General features: G+C 66.3%; 3 protein-coding genes and 2 long non-coding RNA genes across 11 annotated transcripts in view, besides 11 other annotated features; 2 read left to right on the top strand and 3 right to left on the bottom strand.

Annotated features, from left to right (window-relative positions):
- Positions 1-540: a silencer, noted in NCBI's record as "silent region_9675". NCBI's record gives its function as "represses an Ori minimal core promoter by ATAC-STARR-seq in GM12878 lymphoblastoid cells {active_cell/tissue: GM12878}" and the evidence as "EXISTENCE:reporter gene assay evidence [ECO:0000049][PMID:35858748]".
- LOC102723811 (uncharacterized) lies at positions 505-2309 on the top strand. Its single transcript, XR_007067082.1, has 2 exons — positions 505-564; positions 716-2309. It is a non-coding gene; the product is annotated as an uncharacterized LOC102723811 (long non-coding RNA).
- Positions 1853-2598: an enhancer, noted in NCBI's record as "H3K4me1 hESC enhancer chr19:1245978-1246723 (GRCh37/hg19 assembly coordinates)". NCBI's record gives its function as "activates a minimal SCP1, AML or CMV promoter by ChIP-STARR-seq in naive H9 embryonic stem cells {active_cell/tissue: H9 hESC(naive)}" and the evidence as "EXISTENCE:reporter gene assay evidence [ECO:0000049][PMID:30033119]".
- Positions 3730-3889: an enhancer, noted in NCBI's record as "active region_13600". NCBI's record gives its function as "activates an Ori minimal core promoter by ATAC-STARR-seq in GM12878 lymphoblastoid cells {active_cell/tissue: GM12878}" and the evidence as "EXISTENCE:reporter gene assay evidence [ECO:0000049][PMID:35858748]".
- Positions 3752-6826, bottom strand: ATP5F1D (ATP synthase F1 subunit delta). Of its 2 annotated transcripts, NM_001001975.2 has the most exons (5): positions 6586-6826; positions 5968-6121; positions 4392-4480; positions 4137-4262; positions 3752-3840 (listed from the first exon to the last, which is right to left on the bottom strand). In NM_001001975.2, the coding sequence occupies exons 1-4, from the start codon at positions 6724-6726 to the stop codon at positions 4140-4142; spliced, it is 507 nt and encodes a 168-aa protein (NP_001001975.1). In that variant the 5' UTR covers positions 6727-6826; the 3' UTR covers positions 3752-3840; positions 4137-4139. The 2 variants fall into 2 exon arrangements, with proteins under 2 accessions (NP_001001975.1, NP_001678.1); NM_001687.5 differs by having other exon boundaries at positions 3752-4262.
- Positions 4090-4249: a silencer, noted in NCBI's record as "silent region_9674". NCBI's record gives its function as "represses an Ori minimal core promoter by ATAC-STARR-seq in GM12878 lymphoblastoid cells {active_cell/tissue: GM12878}" and the evidence as "EXISTENCE:reporter gene assay evidence [ECO:0000049][PMID:35858748]".
- Positions 6547-6656: a silencer, noted in NCBI's record as "silent region_9673". NCBI's record gives its function as "represses an Ori minimal core promoter by ATAC-STARR-seq in GM12878 lymphoblastoid cells {active_cell/tissue: GM12878}" and the evidence as "EXISTENCE:reporter gene assay evidence [ECO:0000049][PMID:35858748]".
- Positions 6957-7026: an enhancer, noted in NCBI's record as "active region_13599". NCBI's record gives its function as "activates an Ori minimal core promoter by ATAC-STARR-seq in GM12878 lymphoblastoid cells {active_cell/tissue: GM12878}" and the evidence as "EXISTENCE:reporter gene assay evidence [ECO:0000049][PMID:35858748]".
- Positions 7067-7196: an enhancer, noted in NCBI's record as "active region_13598". NCBI's record gives its function as "activates an Ori minimal core promoter by ATAC-STARR-seq in GM12878 lymphoblastoid cells {active_cell/tissue: GM12878}" and the evidence as "EXISTENCE:reporter gene assay evidence [ECO:0000049][PMID:35858748]".
- Positions 7996-8355: a silencer, noted in NCBI's record as "silent region_9672". NCBI's record gives its function as "represses an Ori minimal core promoter by ATAC-STARR-seq in GM12878 lymphoblastoid cells {active_cell/tissue: GM12878}" and the evidence as "EXISTENCE:reporter gene assay evidence [ECO:0000049][PMID:35858748]".
- Positions 7996-8621: a biological region, named in NCBI's record as "H3K4me1 hESC enhancer GRCh37_chr19:1239955-1240513".
- Positions 8063-8621: an enhancer, noted in NCBI's record as "H3K4me1 hESC enhancer chr19:1239955-1240513 (GRCh37/hg19 assembly coordinates)". NCBI's record gives its function as "activates a minimal SCP1, AML or CMV promoter by ChIP-STARR-seq in naive H9 embryonic stem cells {active_cell/tissue: H9 hESC(naive)}" and the evidence as "EXISTENCE:reporter gene assay evidence [ECO:0000049][PMID:30033119]".
- Positions 9057-10649, bottom strand: CBARP-DT (CBARP divergent transcript). The gene is made up of 2 exons (NR_186324.1): positions 10351-10649; positions 9057-9213 (listed from the first exon to the last, which is right to left on the bottom strand). It is a non-coding gene; the product is annotated as a CBARP divergent transcript (long non-coding RNA).
- CBARP (CACN subunit beta associated regulatory protein) lies at positions 10075-20290 on the top strand. Of its 5 annotated transcripts, none has more exons than XM_017026555.2 (10): positions 10075-10419; positions 12456-12581; positions 12659-12798; positions 13012-13076; positions 13432-13576; positions 13835-14006; positions 14246-14386; positions 14941-15151; positions 17302-17476; positions 18435-20290. In XM_017026555.2, exons 1-10 carry the CDS (start codon positions 10075-10077, stop codon positions 19396-19398), a joined length of 2484 nt encoding a protein of 827 aa, XP_016882044.1. In that variant the 3' UTR covers positions 19399-20290. The 5 variants fall into 5 exon arrangements, with proteins under 5 accessions (XP_016882044.1, NP_001380847.1, XP_016882045.1 ...); NM_001393918.1 differs by lacking the exon at positions 10075-10419 and adding an exon at positions 10572-10821; XM_017026556.2 differs by lacking the exon at positions 10075-10419 and adding an exon at positions 10572-10821 and having other exon boundaries at positions 17302-17680.
- Positions 10435-10654: a silencer, noted in NCBI's record as "silent region_9671". NCBI's record gives its function as "represses an Ori minimal core promoter by ATAC-STARR-seq in GM12878 lymphoblastoid cells {active_cell/tissue: GM12878}" and the evidence as "EXISTENCE:reporter gene assay evidence [ECO:0000049][PMID:35858748]".
- The window catches only part of STK11 (serine/threonine kinase 11), a 22654-nt gene continuing 21784 nt past the window's right edge, over positions 20146-21015 (bottom strand). For both annotated transcript variants that reach the window (NR_176325.1, NM_000455.5), the window contains one exon: positions 20146-20984. The gene's annotated coding sequence lies outside the window, so the exon portion shown is untranslated. The remainder of the gene's footprint in view (positions 20985-21015) is intronic.

The following is a 21015-nucleotide window of genomic DNA, read 5'->3' as shown; positions in this document are numbered from 1 at the left end:
AGCGCGCGGCCCTCAGCCTTTATCCGCGCCGCCTTCCCTCGGGGTGGAGTTAGGGCGGGCAGGGGGGCGGGGGGCCGGGCGGGCGGTGACGCAGACTGGCCCCCGCCCCTGCCTGCCGGCCCTGGCCCTGGGGCGCCTTGACGGCTGGGCCACCCGGGACCCAGGCTTGGCGCAGTTCATGGGGGGACTCCCCTTGAATGCCCCGAGCCAAGGGTCTCGGCCCGCCTCGCCGCGGGCTGAGATGCACCCCGAATCGTCAGCGGGACAGGGTTTTGGGGTGTACAGCGCGACTCGCTGCCCCGCCCCCTTCCTGTCGCCCCAGGCCCGGTGCTTCCGCCTGGGGGCGCCCGCGTGGGGGGGACGGGAAGAGGGGCCTGAGTCAGCGGCTGTCGTCCAGGAAAACAGGCTGGAGTCACCTGCCGTAGAGTGGGGGTGCCCTGGCCAGCCCTGGCCTCCTGCATCTGTCAATGGTGACCTCAGAGGGCATTTATGGAGCGATTAGCCAGTGCCAGGCCTGCCTTGTGCCCAGCCAGTCACCAGCCGGCTATGCTGTGACCCCGGGAGGTAACTGGCCTCTCCAAGCCTCAGTTTCTCCAGGGTGGGTGGGAGTGTGGTGAGGGGATGCGGCAGGATCACTTTGGGGCCATCACCCCCCATTAATGCAGGACATGCACTGGTTCCCAGCCTTTGGGGTGGGCATTACCCCATTTTACAGATGAAGAAACTGAGGCCACAGCCAATGAGACACGAATGTGGTGTGCATCTCACCCTTCCCCGTCGGCTTTTTGAGGATGGTCCTGGTTGAGGTGGGCCCCGTCCTGCCCCTCTATTTAGAGAAGGGGACCCCATTCCTACGGGAGCACCTCCTGTCCACTCATCTGGCCCCTCCCTTTATCTGGCCTGACCACCTCCACCCCCACCCTGGCCATGGGCGCCCCTCCCAGGGCTGCGCTCCTCCCCAGGTCTCCTTCCGGCTGCCACCCATGCTCCCGGCAGCCGTGGCCCCCACCTTGACAGGCACACCCAGCCCCGAAGGGTCAGGGCTAGGCCAGAGAGGGAGAGGCTGGGATAACCCTTGGAAGGGGGTCACAGGGGCTGCGGTTTGAGGAATGACTAGGAGTTTGTCACATAAAAAAGATGATGCGGTCGGGCGCGGTGGCTCACGCCTGTAATCCCAGCACTTTGGGAGGCCGAGGCGGGCGGATCACAAGGTCAAGAGATTGAGACCAGCCTGGCCAACATGGTGAAACCCTGTCTCTACTAAAAATACAAAAATTAGCTGGGCATGGTGGCATGTGTCTGTAGTCCCAGCTACTCAGGAGGCTGAGGCAGGAGAATCGCTTGAACGCGGGAGGCGGAGGTTACAATAAACCCAGATCGTGCCAGGGCACTCCAGCCTGAGCGACAAAACGAGATTCCGTCTCAAAAAAAAAAAAAAAAAAAAAAAAGGCCGGGCGCGGTGGCTCATGCCTGTAATCCTGGCACTTTGGGAGGCCGAGGCGGGCGGATCACGAGGTCAGGAGTTCGAGACCAGCCTGATCAACATGGTGAAACCCTGTCTGTACTAAAAACACAAAAATTAGCCAGGCGTGGTGATGTGCGCCTGTAATCTCAGCTACTTGGGAGGCTGAGGCGGGAGCATTGCTCGAACCCGGGAGACGGAGATTGTGGTGAGCTGAGATTGTGCCATTGCACTCCAGCCTGGGCAATAAGAGCGAAACTCCTCTCAAAAAAAAAAAAAAAAAAAAAAAAAAAAGACGATGGTCCAGGAAGTGGGAATGGCTTGAGCAGTTCTGGGAGCTTAGTGAACTGGACCCAGTTGGAGGGAGGAGGGGCAGGGTCGATGAATGGGGCTTGGATGAAGGGCTGGGGCCCCAGGTGGGAACTACAGGGCCAGGCTCATTCTGCTTCCAGTGAGAACAAAGGTGGCGGAGGGAGCCGTGGACTGGTGCCAAATGAGCAGCCCAAGCAGGACACTGGGGCCCCCTGTGAGTGGCCAGCAGCCCCCACCTCCCTCCCTGCCTCTTGCCTCTCGTGTGTGGCTCTGCCACCTGCACACCGTCACCTCAGTCTGGTCGGGAGTGGAATGGACACCGTCACCTCAGTCTGGTCGGGAGTGGAATGGACACCGTCACCTCAGTCTGGTCGGGAGTGGAATGGACACCATCACCTCAGTCTGGTCGGGAGTGGAATGGGACACGGGTTGTCGGAACTTGCTGGGCTTCACAGGGGCCACTGTGTGGCCCTTTGGGGACCAGATGCCCAGAGCCAGTCTAAATGAATAAACATGCTAAAACGCTTCCCCACCATTTCCCATACTCGGCGTCCCCATGGTTGAGTGGGTTGTTCCTGGGTGTGATGGGGACAAACCCTGTGCTCTGTTCTGCCTCACTAAGCCAGGGGCTGCCCTCACTGAAGGGCCTTGACCGCCTGGTTCCCGGCCCCACCCTGACTGCCTCCTGCTCCAGGACGCATCCAGCCAGCACGGGCTGTTCCCTCCGAGTGTCAGGTGTCTCGGGTGTCCTGAGGCCTGGCTCCAAGGTTCACACCCTCCCTGGTGGTGGGGGCAGGGGAGGTCCCCGGAGTGAGCAGCTCCTCCCGCTGGGCCCCTGCTAAGTCCCAGCTGTGCCCTTGGTCTTATTTATAGGGTCCTGGTGGCCTGGCAGGAACTTGAAGACCTGGGGCTGGAACTGGGGGCGGGGGGGAGGGGGGGCCTGGGCAGAGGCTGCTCCTGTGGCCTGGTGGCTGACACAACCTTCCCTGGGCTGCGGATTCCTGGAGAAGTGGGGGCCTGGTCACTCGTGTCCCGAGGCCCAAGTGGAGGGGGAGCCAGGCAGGGGACCGTGGGCTGTTCCAGAATACCTGATCTGCTGACCGGCGGCCTCAGAGTCGCAAGGCCCCCAACGGCACCTCGCCTCAAGTGAAGCTGTGGCAAGTCACCCGCATAGTGCCATGACGTGGGAGTGAGCTGCCCGTCCGTGCTGACAGGCCCGGGGCGGCCTCTCTGTCACCATCCCAGCTCCAGTGACACAGGCAGGCCCACCCTCCCCACTCACCCCCCTGGAATTCCCTGCCTACCCCACTGCACAGGGCCCTGTCCCAAGGAAGGGAGGAGGTCAGGAGACCCCAGCCCCCGCCGTCCACACACCAGCTGGAGCCAGTGTTGCCCGCCCCCAGGGTTATGGAAAGGAGAAGAGGCAGGCCCAACGGGGCAGTGCCAGGGAGCCGCCCCCTCCTGGGCCCACCCCACTCCATCTGGGGCCAACCCAGAAGCCTAGGTGCCCACGGAGGTGCCAAAAACACTGCAGATTCGGCACCCGGCCAGGCAGGGCCACCCACAGGACCGGCTGGCACAGGGCGGGGCCAGCGTGGGAGCGGGTGGGGCCCGCCTCTTTCCAGAGGCTGGTGGGCAGGGCCAAGGGCCAGCAGGGCTCAGGGTCAAGGCCTGGAGACCAGGAACTCGGCAGAGGCGCCAGGAGCAGCAGGGACACCCCTCCCTGACCGATGTCCCCATCACTGGTGACCTTCACCCTCCCCACCGTTGTAGGGTGAAGGTCAGCAGCCTGCCCGCCTGGCTGCACCCCACCCACCCCCTCGAGCCTGCTTCCTACGGACCTCCAGGTGCCCTAAGGGACATAGTCCAGGGGAGCTCAAAGGCCCTATTTGCAAGGGACATGGAGGACGTGAGCAGGGGCCCAGGACGCTCCCGGCTTCACCGGGCCAGGTGGAGGAACAAGAGCCGAGCACACAGTCAGGCTTCCGGGTCTTTAATGGGGCGGGGGCTGGGGGCAGTTCATCCAGAGGTGGCTCCGAAGCTGAGGTCAACCTTGGCGGCTGGCTCTGCAGGGCAGAGGGGATGGTAAGCGGCCCGTCAGGCTGGGGGGATCTTGAGAGGCGGAAGGAGAGCCCCATGGGTGGCAGCCACAGCTCAAAGCTGAGGAGGAGCTTCCCTGGCCCAGTCCCCAGAGCTTTCAACACAGGCAGGGCCTGGGGCCCAGGCAGAAGCCTGCACTGCCCTCTGGTGGCCTCCTTGGCAGGCGCGGCTTCCCCAGGTGGCCGGGACCCCAGGAGCTGGCTGGGCCCACCTGGCATCCCTGCCCAGCCCCTGGCCGGGCCTCGGGACACCGGGTACGCACCGCCTACTCCAGGGCCTTCACCAGGGCCTCGTTGGCCTCGATTCGGATCTGGATCTCTGCCCGCGTGGCCTCGTCAGCTGTCCCCACCAGCTCCGCCTGGGCCTTCTCCAAGTTTGCCTTGGCTGCCTGCAAGGGGTTGAGGGGCGGTGAGGGGCCAGCAGCGACCCCAGCCCGGCTCCTGGTCCCCCAGCGCTCCCTCCCCCGCAGCCTGGACAGCTCCAACCTGCTGAGCCTCAGGTCCCCTCTGACACTCACCCCCAGGTCCAACATGTCCAGCGTCACGGCCTCTTCGGCCAACAACTGCACCGAAGAGTCGGCGTTCACTGCGATGGAACCGCTGCTCACTGGGGGAATGGGGCGGGGGGAAGGCGTGAGACCCCAAAGGGCTGCACAGCCTCAGGGACTCCCCTGGTCAAGTCCAGAGCCCCCTGTGAACCAGGAGCTCCACAAACATCCAAGTCTGTGTCCTGAGTGTGCAAACAGACCCACAGGACTGGCCCTGGGCCCAACATGGCGGGCAACTGCTAGAGAAGAACAAAACAGGGGCCGCAAGAAAGGACTAGAAGCTGGAGGAACCCCCAAAAGCACTGCCTGGGGACAGAGGCCCTCCCTCTGACCCACCACCCATGGGTTGAGCTGGGGTCAGGGCCAAAGGCAAGCTGAGTTCAAATCTGGCCACCACTGGAAACCAGTGAGGCTTAGAACTGCTTTTTTTCCTGCACAAATGACCTTCCTCCCCTAATCTGATCAGCCCTCCCAACATGGTTTTTTGAGGGGTTTTTTTGGCACAGGGTCTCACTCTTGTTGCTCAGGCTGAAGTGCAGTGGCATGATCTTGGCTCACTGCAGCCTTGACTTCCCCGGCTGAAGCGGTCCTCTTGCTTCAGCCTCCCGAGTAGCTGGGACTACAGGTGTGCACCACTACAACCAGCTAATTTTTTGTAGTATGGGATTTCACTATGTTGCCCAGGCTGGTCTCAAACTCCTGGGCTCAAGAGACCCTCCCACCCCGGCCTTCCAAAGTGCTAGGATTACAGGTGTGAGCCACCGCACCCAGCCTCGCCTGGTCAGTTTCTTTTTATTTTTTGTAGAGACAGGGTCTCACTATGTTGCCAAGGCTAGTCTCAAACTCCTGGGCTTAAGCGATTCTCCCACTTCAGTCTCCCAAAGTGCTGAGATTACAGGCATGAACCACTGGGCCTGGGTGGTTTTACATCTCTTGCTTCGACCATCCTACATTGGTTGGTCCAGAGCCAGTCATAAACCGGCTGAGAGCAGGGTCCCCTCTGGTTCGCTTTCATCACCGGCCAGCCCAGGCTCCTCAGTGGACAAACCTGCTAAAACTGTATTTTTCTTATTTGAGATGGAGTTTCACTCTTGTTGCCCAGGCTGGAGTGCAGTGGCACAATCTCCTCAGCCTCCTGACTAGCTGGGACTACAGGCACCCGCCACCACGCCTGGCTAATTTTTTGTATTTTTAGTAGAGACGGGGTTTCACCGTGTTAGCCAGGATGGTCTCGATCTCCTGACCTCGTGATCCCCCCGCCTCGGCCTCCCAAAGTGCTGGGATTACAGGCGGGAGCCACCGCACCCGGCCAGTTTTCTGTATTTTTAGAAGAGACGGGGTTACATCATGTTGGCCAGGCTGGTCTCCGAACTTCTGACCTCAGGTGATCCACCTGCCTCGGCCTCCCAAAGTGCTGGGATTACAGGCTTGAGCCACCGTGCCCGGCCTAAAACTATTTTTTCTCGCAGCCTCAACTGAGACGGAGACTGACCTGGGATGTGGAGCCCCAGCCTGGCCTGGCCCTGCAGCCCTCCACCGGACTCACCAAAGTATTTGGAGGTGGTGCCGTCCTCTGCATGCACCACGACCAGCCCCGGCCGCAGGACCTGCAGCGTGGGCACGTGGGCCGCCAGGATGCCGAAGGCTCCGGTCAGCGTGGGCACGTCCACCTGCCGGACGTTGGCACCGTTGAAGAACACCTGCAGACAACAGCGTGGGGAATGATGGCGGGGCAGGCCGGCCCCGCGCCCACCGGGCACTCGGCCTGTCCTGCTAAGTAATGGGTCAGGGCAGGACCTGGCGCTGATGTGAGGCACTGAGACAACCCAGCGCAGGGATCCGAAGTTGCAGCTTTGGTCCTCAACAGTTGCGCCTCATTCTACTGATCCGCGAAATGGGAATGCAACGATCCGGCGACACCCAGGCTTTGGCCAGGGAGATCGGGGAGGGCACCCAGGAGACGCTTATCTCGGGGAGGTGCCCGGGACGAGGGCAGCGCAGGGCTCGGGCAGCAGAGGCAGGGCCGAGGGTCCAGGGCTGAGTAGCCTCGGCTTCCGGGGCGCGCGGGTCCGGGGGCCCGGAAGCGGGGGTCGCGCCCTGGGGGTGGGGACCCTGGACTCCGGGGGCGGCGGCCACGGAGGGTCCCGACCCGCAGCGCCCGAACCTGCGTGGGAGAGGCGAAGGTGAAGGACATCTGGTTGGGGCCAGAGGCGGCAGCCGGGGCGGCGGCGGCCTCGGCATAGGCACGGGCGTGGCGGACGAGGCGGCCAAGTCCCGGGCGGCGGAGCAGCGCGGCGGGCAGCATGGCAGCGGCGGGCGGCAGGAAGCGGGTAGCTGGCGGACAGCGGACTCCGGCGCGGCGCGGGCGGCCTGGAGGGCGAGGAGGACGACGCGCAGGGACGTCTGGGAGGAGGAGTCCCGGCGAGAGCGCAAGCGCGAACTACGACTCCCGGCAGGGCGCACGCGACGTTGACGACGCAGTGCCCCGTCGTGAGGTATTCTGGGGGTTGCAGTTTTGTTCCGGCCCGGGCTGCGGCAGAACCAGGGGGTGGTCAGATAAGGGCGGTGAAACCGTCCTGGGAGGTGGAGTAAAACGAACTTCAGTGAAATTCAAGATTCGGCTGCGTGGTGGCTCACGACTGTAATACCAGCGCTTTAGGAGGCTGAGGCCAGAGGATCACTTGAGGCCAGGAGCTGGAAACCAGCCTGGGCAATAGTGTAGATCGCCCCCACCCCCGACCCGTCTGTACAAAAAAAAAAAAAAAGATTTTTGGGGCGCTCATTGGATGCAGGGCCCTGGATAGACATCAAGAAAACATCAAGTTTCCGGCTCTGGGCCAGGTGTGGTGGCTCCAACCTGTAATCCCAGCACCTTGAGAGGCCAAGGCAGGAGAATCACTTGACCCCAGGAGATGGAGACCAGTCTGGGCAACAGAGGGAGACCCCGTCTCTACAAATAATCAAAATTAGCCGGGCGTGGTGATGCACGCCTGTGGTCCCAGCTACTGGGGAGGCTGAGGCGGGAGCATCGCTTGGGCCTAAGGAGATTGAGGCTGCAGTGAGCTATCATTGCGCCACTGCCTAGCCTGGGCAACAGAGTGAGAATCCCACTCTGGGGCCGGGGGTTATTTAGCAGACATTTGAGATCATTAATAAGCAGGTCAGGCCGGGCGCGGTGGCTCACGCCTGTAATTCCAGCACTTTATCCGATCTGGAGGGCGAGGCAGGCGGATCACCTGAGGTCAGGAGTTTGAAACCAGCCTGGTCAACATGGCGAAACCTCGTCTCTACTAAATATACAAAAATTAGCCGAGCATGGTGGTGGGCGCCTGTAATCCCAGCTACTCGGGAGGCTGAGGCAGGAGAATAGCTCGAACCCGGGCGGGGGGGGGGGGGGGAGGTTGCAGTGAGCCGAGATCGCGCCACTGCACTCCAGCCTGGGCGACTGAGCAAGACTCTGTCTCAAACAAAAAAATAAATAAAATTTAAAAACAAACAGGTCGTAGTGGTAGGTGGTGGCAAAAGCCAAAAATAAATCACAGTAAAAGCCGAGAAAGTGTGCAGGACGGGACAGGGTGGAAGGCTGCAGGTGCAGCTGTTCTAGGAAACGGCGACCGCGGCGAGGGGCACAGCGCGGGCGACGCGGGAGGGCTCGCTGGGGATCCCGGACCCCGGCGCGCTGCTCCTCGACGCCGGCAGAGGGCGCTCCGCGCCCGGAGATGCGCTCGCCGACCCCCCACCTCCTGCCTGGCCGTCGCCCCCGTGCGCCTCTGACGCAGGAGCGCGTGCGCGGGCGGCTCGGGGCTCCGCTGCCGTCAGCCAGCGGCCCGCGCAGCCTCGCTCGCGGCTATGACGTCACCGCCCCGCCCCCGCGCTCACGCAGGTCTGCGGCACCCGGCCGGGCCCCCAGCCCCGCTCCTTAGGCTCCGGGAAAATGCGGAATCGGGGATGGCGGGGGTTGGGGCTCGGGCTCCCTGGAAAGGGCCTTGAGCCTGGCGCGGTGGGCTGGACCCCAGGGGTGCAGGGAGCAGGGGAGGCCCTGGGGCTGTGGCTTTACAAGGGTGCAGCCAGGGAGATCCAATGCCTCCTGCTGTGGGCGAATCCGACACGATCCGTGGCTCCCTACATCCGGAGGCTGCACCCTCGCCCCCTGCCCGTGTTCAGGCCAGTGCAATGGCGGGCGCCACTGTCCCCTGGAACCCAAGCACCTGAAGAAGGCCCTGCTGGTCCGACTCAGGATGAAGGCGTGGGCCTGGCTCCTCCCACCGGGCCAGCGCTGTGACGGTCACTTGGAGCCTGGTCATCCTGGCCCTGGCTCGGGGGGTGCAGAGGAGGAGGCCTGTTCACTTTTCGAGTCGTGACCTGTGCACCTCCTGGCTCTCAGGACCGCATATCCAGCTGCCACTCCAGGAAACTGGGAGGCCTAATAGACTCAGTCTCACTCGTGGAACCACTTCCCTCCAGTCCCCACTCCAGGGTCGCCCACGGGTGAGGGCGCCATTACTCCAGCCCCAAACCTGGGGTTCCTCTGGAATTCCGCCCTGTCCCGGCCTGTGCACCCAGCATGGCCACCGCGGCTACCATCTCTTGCCTAGGAGGCCCCAGCCTCCCCCCGTTTAGTACAGGTACCTTTTCTTCACACAGCCAGAGGGAGTCTTTATTAAAAATCAGAAACCTGGCGGGGTGTGGGGGCTCACACCTGTAGTCCCAACAATTTAGGAGACTGAGACAGAAGGATCTCTTGAGCCCAGAAGTTCGAGACCAGCCCGGACAACATAGCAAGATTCCATCTCTACAAAAAAAAACAAAACAAAAATTAGCTGGGCATGATGGCGCGCACCTGTAGTCCCAACTACCTTCCGGGCTGAGGCTGGAAAATTGCTTGAATCCGGGAGGTGGAGGTTGCAGTGAGCCGTGATCACACCACTGCACTCCAGCCTGGGCGACAGTGCGAGACTCTGTCTCTCCAAAAAGCAAAACCGAAATACAAAAAACCCTGAAGCCTGCCCATGTCATGGTCCTGCTGGGAACAAGACGATTTCTCTGCTTCCTTCACAGGCATTGACTTGCAAACTTTTTTGCCTCAAAACCTTTGCCCATGCAATTCCCATTTGCCTGGCACCAGGTTCCCTGGGGCTGCCCTTGGAGTTCACAGCTATCGGAGTGGTGGCCCCACAGCACACAGGAACAGGCAAGGCGCAAGGCATAGGGCCTTGGAGGGACGTAGCAGAGGAGGGGACCCAGGCATGGGCTGGAAGCCAAGAGCAGAAGCGCCGAGACTGTGAAGCTGGGGAAGGAGTTGAAGGAAACCGGGGTGAATCTCTGGCTGCATGGACAGAGGCCTGGGTACAGGGCACCTGCAAGGGCAGAGGCGGGGAGGCTGAGCTGGGCCAGCCACGTGCCAGAGCGGTGTCAGCCTTTCTTTGGGACGAGAAAGAGGAGGCGCTGTGGGGTGTTAGGCGTGGGCTCAGAGGGGTTGGGGTGGCGCTCGGGCCAGGCTGGTGGCAGGTGTGTGGCCTGAGTATCTGCAGGATGAGGTTCGATGGTCTAAGAGGGAGAAGCGGGGGCAGCTTTGGGCTTTGGGTTTCTGCGGGTGTCGTTCTGATGTCACCCCACGAGGAGCAGGCCTCTGTGAGTGCACGTTTGGGCCCCGATGGGCTCTGCTCAGCTTTGTGCCGGGGTCTGTGATCGCTGTCACACAGGGGAGGGGGCAGGAGAGGCATGGCGAGTCCTCCACAGTGCCAGAGGGGACCTGCGTGGGGAAGCAGGCGGGGCGCCTGTGTCCAGAGACCCTGGGCTGTGCAGCTTAAAGGGGAATTGTGGCCGAGGGGCCCTGGCTGTGCCGCCCCAGAACCCCCACGGACCAAGCAACGTGAGAGGGGAGTCCGTGCCCCCCCGGACCCCACCCCCTCCTGCGCACGCGGCGCACCTCGGGCTGCAGAGTCGTGAATTCCAGGACACCCCCAGCTGCGTCCCTGGGACCTCAGGACCGGGCGAGGTGAATCGTGCCGATGGGCCGGGGGCGGGGCTCGGCCGCCGCGGCGGGTGCGGGGGGCGGCTCCGCGTGCGGAGTGGGCGCCCGGGAGCGCAGGCTCCGCCCCCCGCCCCGCCGGAAGGGAAGGGGAGGCGGTGGCCGGCGCGGAGCCAGCCAGACCCAGCGGCGAGCGCAGCGGGGGCGGCGGGCCGGGGACCGGGCAGCACCGGGCGCGCGGAGCGGGCGCGCCGCCAACGCGGTCACGTGCGCGGCCCCTCCTCTCGCGCCGGCCTCCCCCGCGCCGCGCTCTCCATTCATAAATTCTCCGCCTGCTCCGCGGCCACCGGGCGCCGGAGCCAGCCGCGAGCGCCACGCAGCCGCCCGCCGCCAGCCCGCCGCCCATGGGCCGCTCGTCCCGGCGCTGAGGTAGGCGCGGCGGGCTCGGGGCTGCGGGGGGCGGACGGGGGACAGGCCGGGGATCGCAGCCGGCTGTGGGCTAAGCGGCCGGAGGGAGGGCGCGGAGGAGTCCGGCGGGCGTGGGGACCGAGATCCGGGCCTTGCGCCCCCCACCCGGCTGCCTCCAGAGGGACCCCCGCTCAGGCCCCGCCCCAGCCTCAGTTTCTCCCTGTGAGGTCGGGCGAGGACGATGGCGTCTCGGCTCAGCCCTGGCGTCGGGTCCCTGCCTCCCCTGGCTCGCCATCCCCACCCTTGGCCGGCTCGGGGGCGCGGTGCTGCCCCGTGGGGAACCTCCGCCCTCGGCTCCCGCAGCCGCCTCCCCCAGGAGCCCCCCTCTTCCCCTCGGCCTCCTGCCATCTTCCCCGGCCTCCGGTCACCATCCTGCGCCTGTCCCCACCCCCTCCAGCCTGAACTCATTTCCCGACCTACATATGCGGCCCCTTCCCCCAGTACCAGGGCCCGGGCAGCCTGTGACCGGGAGCGCTGAGGACACCAGCCCCCGCCGGGACCCTGCCCGGCTTTGGGCCTCAGTTTCCCGCTGTCGCGTGTGGGCGGAAGTCCGGGAAGGGCAGGAGCGGCTGCCGCCTGTGCGCTCCTCTCGCTCCGGGAAAGGTCTCGCGCGTGCGGTGCTGACCTGGGGCCGCCGAGCACCCCGGCGCCAGCCCCGACCCCCTGCGATTCCCGGGCCTCCCCACCCGGCTGCGCCGCACAGCGTCCAGGCGGCTCCTTTCCCTGGTGCCGCGCCCCGCCTCAGTTTCCCCCGAGCGTAAGGCGGCCGGGGATGCTCCGGGCGCCCGGGCTGGGCACGGCGGGGAGGCGGCCGCGGCCATCTTGCGGCTTCGCGCCCGCCCCCCCGAGGCCGCCGCCCCCCCCCAGGCCGCCGCCCCCGCGCCCCCTCCCCGCCGCTCCCTGGCAACCCGCCCCCCCAGCCGCGGCCTGCTCCGCAGTCGCCATGGGAACCAGCTTCTCCGGGGCTGGGAACAGATGCGCCTTCTTTGTCCCTTGCACTCCCACCAGCACTCAGCACCGGGGAGACCTCCACCTCCCGGAGTCGTGACCCGGGAGCACGCGCCCAGCCCCTGCACCCTCCCTGGCGCGCAGGCAGCGGGAGGTCTCCCTCTACCCAACCATGGCCGGGTGGGCCCTGCCAGGGTGTAGCTGAACTTCTTGGGGTGGGGGTAGCCCCCCACCCCCGTGATGGGGCGGACAGGGCGTCTGGAGTCCTTCTCGAGCCGGCTGCACCGCCTTGGCGTCCCCATTCCTCCGAGTGCTTGCCCTGCCCAGCGCTGAGCTCCAGGGCCTGGCGCTACCTTGCAGGACAGGCCGCACCGGCTGTGTGCAGTTGTGATGGGTACAGGCGCACCCTCAGAGGGCCAGGCCTCCTCCCCCGCCATGGGGATGGGAGATGGAGGTCCAGAGAGAGCCCCCGGGGCCCGCTGGGCAGAGCCAAGCCGGGTGGAGGCTGCCTCCGGCTCTGCTACCTCTCCATGAGTCACTGCCCCCTGTGTGGGCTCCTGCTCCTGCAGGGAAGACCCAGCTTGTCTGCAGTGGCTCCTGCAGGAGAAGTAGGTCTAGCTGGAGCTGACCAGGCTTCCTCCCCACAGGGCCCTCCTCCCCAGTTCAGAATGCAGCCCACAGCCACCATGGCCACAGCCGCCACCACCACCACCACCACCACTGCCACAGTAGCCCTGACGACGTCGTGGGACAATGCCACTGGACGCCCCACGGTGGGTGCAGGGGACAGGTGGGAGGGGCAGGAGGTCGTCCAGGCCAGCAGCACCTGACCCCCCCTGCACACCCGCAGGCAGAGCCAGACCCCATCCTGGACAACTACGTGCTGCTGGTGGTGGTGATGTCGCTGTTCGTGGGGGGCACGCTGGTGGTGTTGTCTGGCGTCCTGCTCCTCTGCAAGCGCTGCTGGGACGTCCACCAGCGCCTCAACAGGTGCGAGGCCCCCACCTCGGCTGGGCAGGTGCATGGTGGTTGTGGGTGCCATCGGGTGGTGGGGGGTCTACCTCACTGGCTTCTGAGTCACAGGGTGGGCTATGCCTCTGGAGACTGGGTGATGCGCAGGGCTTGGCTTGGGGCAAAGAGCCGAGACCCACTGTGGCTATCTGGGCCCTCCGTGCCACTGGGCTCTCCCAACGTCTCTCCCAGGGCCATGGAGGAAGCGGAGAAGACCACCACCACCTACCTGGACAACGGCACCCACCCAGCCCAAGGTGAGGTGCTGGCCAGCCTGGCTGTGCGCTCGCCTGTCCATCCGCCCCTCGGCCACCCGCCGCCCCCTCGGGCTGCCTGACCGTCTGTGTCTGTCTGTCTCCCCCACCAGACTGGGCGCAGCTCGATTCCGACTCATCTCTGTTTCCTTAACGCCCAGGCGTAGGTGGGCCCAGGCGCGTGCTGAGCGAGTGAGTGTGTGAGCGGATGGACGAGTGTCCCTCGCCCCGCCAGCCCGGCCGCCCGTGCCGCGGCCCCAGCCCTCCCTGCCGTGGCCGCCCGGAGGAGCAGCCCTCCCGGGACCAGGCGCCTGGCGTGGCCCGCCCGGGGCCCACCCTCTCCTGCCTCTCCACGCAGACCCCGACTTCCGGGGAGAGGACCCCGAGTGCCAGGATGCGGAGACCGAACGCTTCCTGTCCACCAGCTCCACGGGCCGCCGGGTCTCCTTCAATGAGGCGGCGCTGTTTGAGCAGAGCCGCAAGACGCAGGACAAGGGTCGCCGGTAAGCGGGGCGGCGTTGGGAGGCACCCCAGGGCCTGTCTGAGGTCCTGGCCGCCGGGACGGGGGAGGAGCTGGGTGCGGAGGCTGCAGGGACCAAGGCAGAGGCTCCTGGACTGGGACCGTGGGGTGGGGCGGCCTTGGCCAGTTGCCCCCCTTTCGCCTGCCCCTGCCCAGGCCGGCAGGGTGGATGGCAGAGCACGGCAGCTGGGGCATCGGGCATGGGAGGTGGGCGGGCTCTGATGGCCAGATGCTGTCGCAGGTACACACTGACGGAGGGGGACTTCCACCACCTGAAGAATGCCCGGCTCACGCACCTGCACCTGCCGCCCCTCAAGATTGTCACCATCCACGAGTGTGACTCAGGCGAGGCCAGCTCAGCCACCACGCCCCACCCGGCCACCTCTCCCAAGGCCACTCTGGCCATCTTCCAGGTGAGCCTATGGGCAGCAGCCCCGGTTCCTCGGGGGACGGGAGGCAGCCCCGGGGACTCCCGGACCCCCACGCCCTCACCCACTCTTTTTCTGGGTGGCCCTCATCTCGGGATGGGCGGGGTGGGGTGGAGCAGGGCAGGGGGCCAAGCCCAGCATGCTCCTCACCTGCCCATGTCCCTCACCCACCCATGCTCTTTGACCTGTCACTGCTTCCTCCCCCACCTGGCTCTGTCCCACAGCCCCCGGGGAAGGCCCTCACCGGCCGCTCTGTGGGCCCCAGCTCCGCCCTGCCAGGTGACCCCTACAACTCAGCCGCGGGCGCCACTGACTTCGCAGAGATCAGCCCCTCGGCATCTAGCGACTCTGGGGAAGGCACCTCGGTGAGGGCCCCTGCGTGTCCCCCATGGTGTCCACAGCCGGGGAGGCTCCTTCCCCTCCCTGTCCCCAGTCCAGGACCAAGGTCAACCTATGACCTGCCAGCCACCGCAGCCCTCCTTGGCCCGCCGGGTCATTGCACACGGGAGAAAGAGGGAGCCGGCCGCACACCGGACACAGGCGTGTCCTCACACATGCAGGGGGCACCCCAGGCTCCCACCTCATTTGACATTCCCTAGGTTCTGGAGAGGGTGCGCCACCCCTGCCCTCCCTCACCTGCAGCCCACGCCGTGGGCGAGAGACCTTCTAGACACGCACCTCCTTTTCTCTCCAAACCCCATATCCAGGGACCTTCCCCAGAGGGCAGAGCACCTTAGTGTAGCCCACCCAGCCACTGAGCGCCCCTCCTCCCGCTTCTGCCCCTCTCCGAGCAGGTACCCCTCTCTGTCCCAGTGATGGGGGGCCCTTGGGACTGTCTCTCAGACCTACGGCCACCTGGGGCCAGCACACGGGCCCAGGAAGAAGTCTTAGCCTGAGCGCCATCTCTGTTCCCTGCCAGTTGGATGCCGGTACCAGGAGCACCAAGGCTGGAGGGCCCGGGGCTGCAGCAGGGCCTGGGGAGGCGGGCCCGGGATCCGGGGCAGGTACCGTTCTGCAGTTCCTCACCCGCCTGCGCCGCCATGCCAGCCTGGATGGGGCCAGCCCCTATTTCAAGGTCAAGAAGTGGAAGCTGGAGCCCAGCCAGCGGGCAGCCAGTCTGGACACGAGAGGTGAGCTGTAGCACCTGGTGGAGAGTGGGCCCCTGTGGGCTGGGTGCTGGCTGCCAGGGGCTGCCCTGGACATCCAGGAGCAGGAGGTTGTGGGCTGGGTGGGGAGCCGGTGCTCTGGGGCTGAGTCCTGCCCAGTCTGCCAGCGGGCGTGCTGCCTGAGGTTCTGCAGGTGGCTGGGAGGGCTGAGTGTGCGGGCGGCCTGAGCCAGACCCACCCAGCTCCGGGAACCTGTGCGGGAAGGCTTTGCGCGCCCCGACTGCTCTCGGGCCATTGGGGCATCCAGGATGAGGTGGTAAAGGAGGGTGTCGGGGGCCACCTGGTCACTGTGGAGCGCAGAGGGTGGGGCCTGTGGCCTGCATCCCCTCCCAGCCATGCTCGGCTCTCATCCCTGGGAATGTGAGTGGAAGGCGGGTTCCCCCGGGGCCCCTCCCTCGCCCGCTGGCAGACCATCAGCTGCTGTGTGACCTTGGCCGAGGCCCTCTGCCTGTCTGGGCTCTGACTTCCTCTAACACGAAGTAAGTGTTGGACTGGGCCAGGGGTCAGCAGACTTTTCCCATCAGGCCCCGGATGGTGGTGTTCGTGGGGTTATGGTCAGAGAGGCTGTGTCTCCACAACTCTGCTGCTGTTGAGGCGAGGAAGCAGTCAGAGGCGCTGCATGACGAATGCACGTGGCTGTGTGCCAGTAAAACTTACCGAAGCTCCGGGGCAGGGGGTGCTTTTGCCCTCTGGGCTGTAGCACATAGATCCCTGGACTGTTTGACAGTAGCCCTTCAATTCTGCAGGCCTTGGGTCAGGCAGGATCCTGGAGACAGGGCTGCCTTATCTGGGCTCGAGGCAGGAGTTTGTGTGGGGAGCAGAGGTGTCCCATCTGTAGCACTGGCAGCAGGCACCAGCCCTGCTCAGCCAGCTCAGCAGGGCCAGGGCAGCCCAGAGGGGCTGGGGCCCGCTCTGCCTTGTGGACAGGGTGGCAGGTCCTGTCGTCAGGTGAGGCCAGGATAGGGGACAAGTGCAGAGAGAAGGTGCTGTCAGCATGACAGAGGACACATCATCAGACAGTGGGAGACCCTGTGTTGTGGCTCCAGCCAGCGGGGGTGGGGTGAGTTCTCCCAGCCCCCACCCCCAAGGTAGCTAGGGGCCAGGGAGGGGAAGGCCTCCTCTGGCTGCCCCGCTCCAGCTGAGAGAATCCAGATCTTGAAATGAATGGGGCCCAGGGGTGACTAGAGACATTTAGAGTCCAATGTGGTTGCAGCACATCCCAGAACCTGTTTGCTGGGGCCTGCCCACTCAAGCTTTGCTGGGGAGGCTGTTGGGAGAAGGGGGCCGAGGCAGGGGTGGGGCAGTCCCCCAGCGCTCTCCAGACCAGGGTGGAGCTGGCAGGAGAGGGCACCTCTCTCCCTCTCCTCGTTGGCCCCCACCAGCCTGTATGTGACTCTCTCATGCCTTCCGTAGTTTCAGCCAGGCTGTGCAGGCCACCAGGTGTCCAGGACACGCCCTTATGAGTGGCCACATGTTGACCAGGGCTGCCACAAGGCACTATCGGTGCCAGAGGCCCTTCCACTCACTCGCTTCCTGGCCCTGCCCTGCTCAGGCTCTCTGGTCCCAGCACCTCTTCCCTCCGTGCCTCAGTTTTCTCACCTGTACTCCAGGGTGTACACACAGCCACTGTCCGCACCCACCTGACCCGGGGAGATGCCAGCCAGGGTCTGGCCCAAGCCAGGGCCCACTCCTGTGTGTGTGAGACAGAGACAGGGCACACGCGTTGTGTGTGTGTGGGGGCCACAGGTGTTCTGTGTGTAGGAGGGTACAGGCATTCTGTGGGGGGGGCACAGGCATGGGGGGTGCACAGGCGTTCTGTGGGGGGGGCACAGGCGTGTGTGTGTGAGGGGGCCACAGGCGTTCTGTGGTGGGGGGCACAGGCGTTCTATGTGTGTGTATGGGGGCCACAGGCGTTCTGTGTGTGGGGGGGGCCCAGGCGTTGTATGTGTGGGGGGCACACGTTGTGTGTGTGTGGTGGGGGTCCACAGGCGTTGTGTGTGGCGGGGGGGCACAGGCATTGTGTGTGTGTGGCGGGGGGGCATAGGCATTCTGTGTGTGTGTGGAGCGGGTGGAGGCACATGCCGGCTGACGCTTACGGCACATCCCGTGCGCAGGTTCCCCCAAGCGGCACCACTTCCAGCGGCAGCGGGCAGCCAGTGAGAGCACGGAGCAGGAGGAGGGGGATGCCCCCCAGGAGGACTTCATCCAGTACATTGCCCGGGCGGGCGACGCCGTGGCCTTCCCGCACCCCCGCCCCTTTCTGGCCAGCCCGCCCCCTGCTCTCGGCAGGTATTTTTCAGTAGATGGAGGTGCTAGGGGTGGACCTGTGGGCCCTTGCCCCCCTTCGCCCCCCCCTAGGCGGCCCAGGGAGCGCTCTCCAGGCCCCGTGGACACGCGCTCGCCTGCCTCCAGCGGCAAGGCCCCTCCCAGAGGCGGACTCACTGGGGCCACCTCTCCAGCATGGACCAGAGGAGGGAAGCAGGGAGAGACTGGGTAAGGGTAGGGCGGTGGGTGGGGAGGAGGGGCCCCCCGAGGATGGCGCTGGTACTGCTGCTTGCTGGTGGAGTCCGAGGCCTGAAGGGTTCTGCTGTGGTCCCAGGCCCTCTCCCACCCCCGCCCCGCCCATGCTCCCAAGGCTGGGCAGACTCCTCTCAGAAGCTGCTGTGACCACTCCGGCCAGCAGCACCCCTCCCCCAACCCAAGGGCAACTTCCCTGAAGCCCAGGGCCCACGTCGGTGGGATGGGAATGGGGCGTGGGGCTGGGGCAGAGCAGGGTTCCTGGGGCAGCCCTGGTATGGCGGGTGACCCTCACGTCTGTGCACTGTCCTCCTGCTGGTTATCCAGCATGGGTGGGCAGAGAGCCCTAGCCTGGAGCAGGGGCTGAGCTGGACTCAACCGCGTCCAGTCCATCCCCTGCGGCTCCCACGTCCACTGGGAGGCTGGGAAAACGTGACTCCCGGAGAGAAGCATGTTGACTTTTCCTGGGGGCTTCCAAGGGAGGGGGCCCCGCCGTCTGCAGTCCAGCATGGAGGCACCCTGCTTAATAAGCAGGCGCCACAGCTCAGGGTCAATGCAAGACGCATCCCCTGCAAAACACACTGGCTCATTTTAAAGCTCTCACCTTCCAAGGCCCGCCCGAGTCCCAAGTCCCACCCGCGTCCACCCTCCCTGATCCAGAGGCGGGATGGCCGGCCGGGTAGGGGGCGCGGGGCTCGGCGGGGCTCTGACGGCGCGGCCTGGCTTGCAGGCTAGAGGCGGCCGAGGCAGCGGGAGGAGCGAGCCCCGATTCCCCCCCGGAGCGCGGCGCGGGCAGCGCGGGGCCTGAGCAGCAGCAGCCGCCACTGGAGCCGGACGCCGAGCGGGACGCGGGCCCCGAGCAGGCCCAGACCAGCTACCGCGACCTGTGGAGCCTGCGCGCCTCGCTTGAGCTGCATGCGGCCGCCTCGGACCACAGCAGCAGCGGCAACGACCGCGACTCGGTGCGCAGCGGCGACAGCTCGGGCTCAGGCTCCGGGGGCGCGGCGCCCGCCTTCCCGCCGCCCTCCCCGCCCGCGCCGCGGCCCAAGGACGGCGAGGCGCGCCGGCTGCTGCAGATGGACAGTGGCTACGCCAGCATCGAGGGCCGCGGCGCAGGCGACGACACCGAGCCACCTGCCGCGCCCGCCCGGCCCCGCAGCCCGCGCGCCTGGCCCCGCCGCCCGCGCCGCGACTACAGCATCGACGAGAAGACGGACGCGCTGTTCCACGAGTTCCTGCGCCACGACCCGCACTTCGACGACACGCCGGCTGCCGCGCGACACCGCGCCCGCGCGCACCCGCACGCCCGCAAACAGTGGCAGCGTGGCCGGCAGCACAGCGACCCCGGCGCCCGCGCGGCCCCGGCCCTGGCCGGAACCCCGGCACCGCCTGCCGGCGCGGCCCGACCCGCGCGTGCGCCCTTGCGGCGCGGCGACAGCGTGGACGGCCCGCCCGACGGTCGCACCCTGGGCGGCGCCGGCGACGACCCCGCCATCCCCGTCATCGAGGAGGAGCCGGGCGGCGGGGGGTGCCCCGGCTCGGGCCTGTGCGTCCTACCATCCGGGTCGGTGCTGGACAAGCTGGCGGCTGGCCTCGACGAGAGACTCTTTCCGCCGCGCCTCGCCGAGCCCGTCGTGGCGACTCCCGCGTTGGTCGCCGCCGCCCCCACGTCCCCCGACCACAGCCCGGCCTAAGTCCCGCGTCCTGGGCCCATCTCTCTGGCAGCTTCTCCGGCGCCGCACGGGGCCTCGGCGGCGGGAGAGACGTGGGGGCGCGACGCCCCGACGCGAATGCGCGGGGACCGCGGGCCCTTCGCGCACGCGCCGGGCGACGGAGGCGCGCTCGCCGCTTCAGGGCGCAGGCGCAGAGCCCCGGCCGCCCTCGCGCCGCCGAAGTGTGCACTGCTCTTTCCGGTGCTTGCCGGGTGCTGGGCGTCGTGAGGCGCGGGCCGCGGAGACCCCGGCTGGGCGGGAAGGAAGGGGCGTGAACGGCTCTCAGCTTCGGGCTCCTGAGGACAACGATCACTCGCCCTCAGTCCCGGACGGGGCGGCCGCTTAGTCGCAGGGCCCGCCACCCGAGGGTCGCGCAGCCCACTGGGCCCGATGGAGCCGCCGCGTGCCGGGCGCGTGCGCGAGCTCGCCCGGGCGGGGGCCGCGGGGCGCTAACGGTCGCAGACGAGTTCGCCGCCCTGGGCCGGGAGGCGGCTCAACACCGTGACTGCCGACCTCCGAGACCGTTTACCTCACTGCGGCGTGTGCTGGCGGCAGCCCGCGCCGCCTCCGAGCAATAACCGCGCCGCCACCGCTGCTGCCGCCGGCCCTGAGGGAGCCGGCCCCGGCCCTCCCGCGCCCCGAGTCCCCACTGCCCTCCGCATGTCAACGGCGCCCGCCCCGCTGCCGCCCCATCCACGTTGAGACGCGAACAAAACCCAGACGGCCAGGTCCAAGCTTCCCAAGCTTTATTTATTGCCAAATTTGGGCGGCCTCGCCCGCACGGCACCCTCCGAGTCCCCGCCGCGTCTGCACCATCCCGCGATGGCGTTTCTCGTGTTTTTCTTTTCTGGATGATATAAATATTGACCGCACACTCCTGCTTGCTCCGGGTTTTCTCTGGGGTCCCAAGAGCGCAGTGGCCTTGGGGGAGAGGTGAGGGTCCTGCCCTCCGGCCGGGCCGCCAAAGCAGGGTGACCCGAGAGCGCAAAGGCGGCCGCGACGTGAGCCCGACCCCACAGCCCCCCTGCCACCCAGCAGCTCCCAAACACCCCTCACAGCCACAGCTCAAATCCACCTTTTATTTTTTCTTAAAAAAAAAAAGAAAAAAAGAAAATGGAACCAACCAAACAAAAAACCAAAGCGGCCGCGCGGCTTCCAGGTGGCGCTGCATGCATGGCGGGGTCAGGAGCCTGGTCTCCACACCCGCCAGCTGGTCTGCGGCGGGGCCGCCGGACGGCGCTGGGCGCCCTGCGGAGCACGAGGCCACGGGCGGGGCCAGTAGTCTCCACATAAAGTGCATGGAGGCCGCCTCCCTCCTCCCACGCCCGCCCGGGAAGGCTCCGCCCGGGGCTGCGAAGTCAACAAGCCGCGTGCACTGCCGGGCGGCCGAGGGGGGAGGGCTGCGCCCGGTCCCTGCTGTCCCCCTGCCCGGCCCTGCAGGGCGCTCCGGAGGTCCTGGGGCGTGGTCGGCACAGAAGCATGGCGGCCACCTCTCCGGGAGGGCGGGCGGAACCGGCAGGAAGACTGAGGGCCTGGCGCGGGCACCTGGCGGGGCTCCTGGACACGGGCTGCAGGGTGGAAGGAAGACGGAAGAGGTCA

This window comes from Homo sapiens, chromosome 19 (assembly GCF_000001405.40).
Source record: "Homo sapiens chromosome 19, GRCh38.p14 Primary Assembly".
NCBI classification, from domain to species: Eukaryota; Metazoa; Chordata; class Mammalia; order Primates; family Hominidae; genus Homo; species Homo sapiens.
This window is presented reverse-complemented; position numbering and strand designations above follow the sequence as displayed.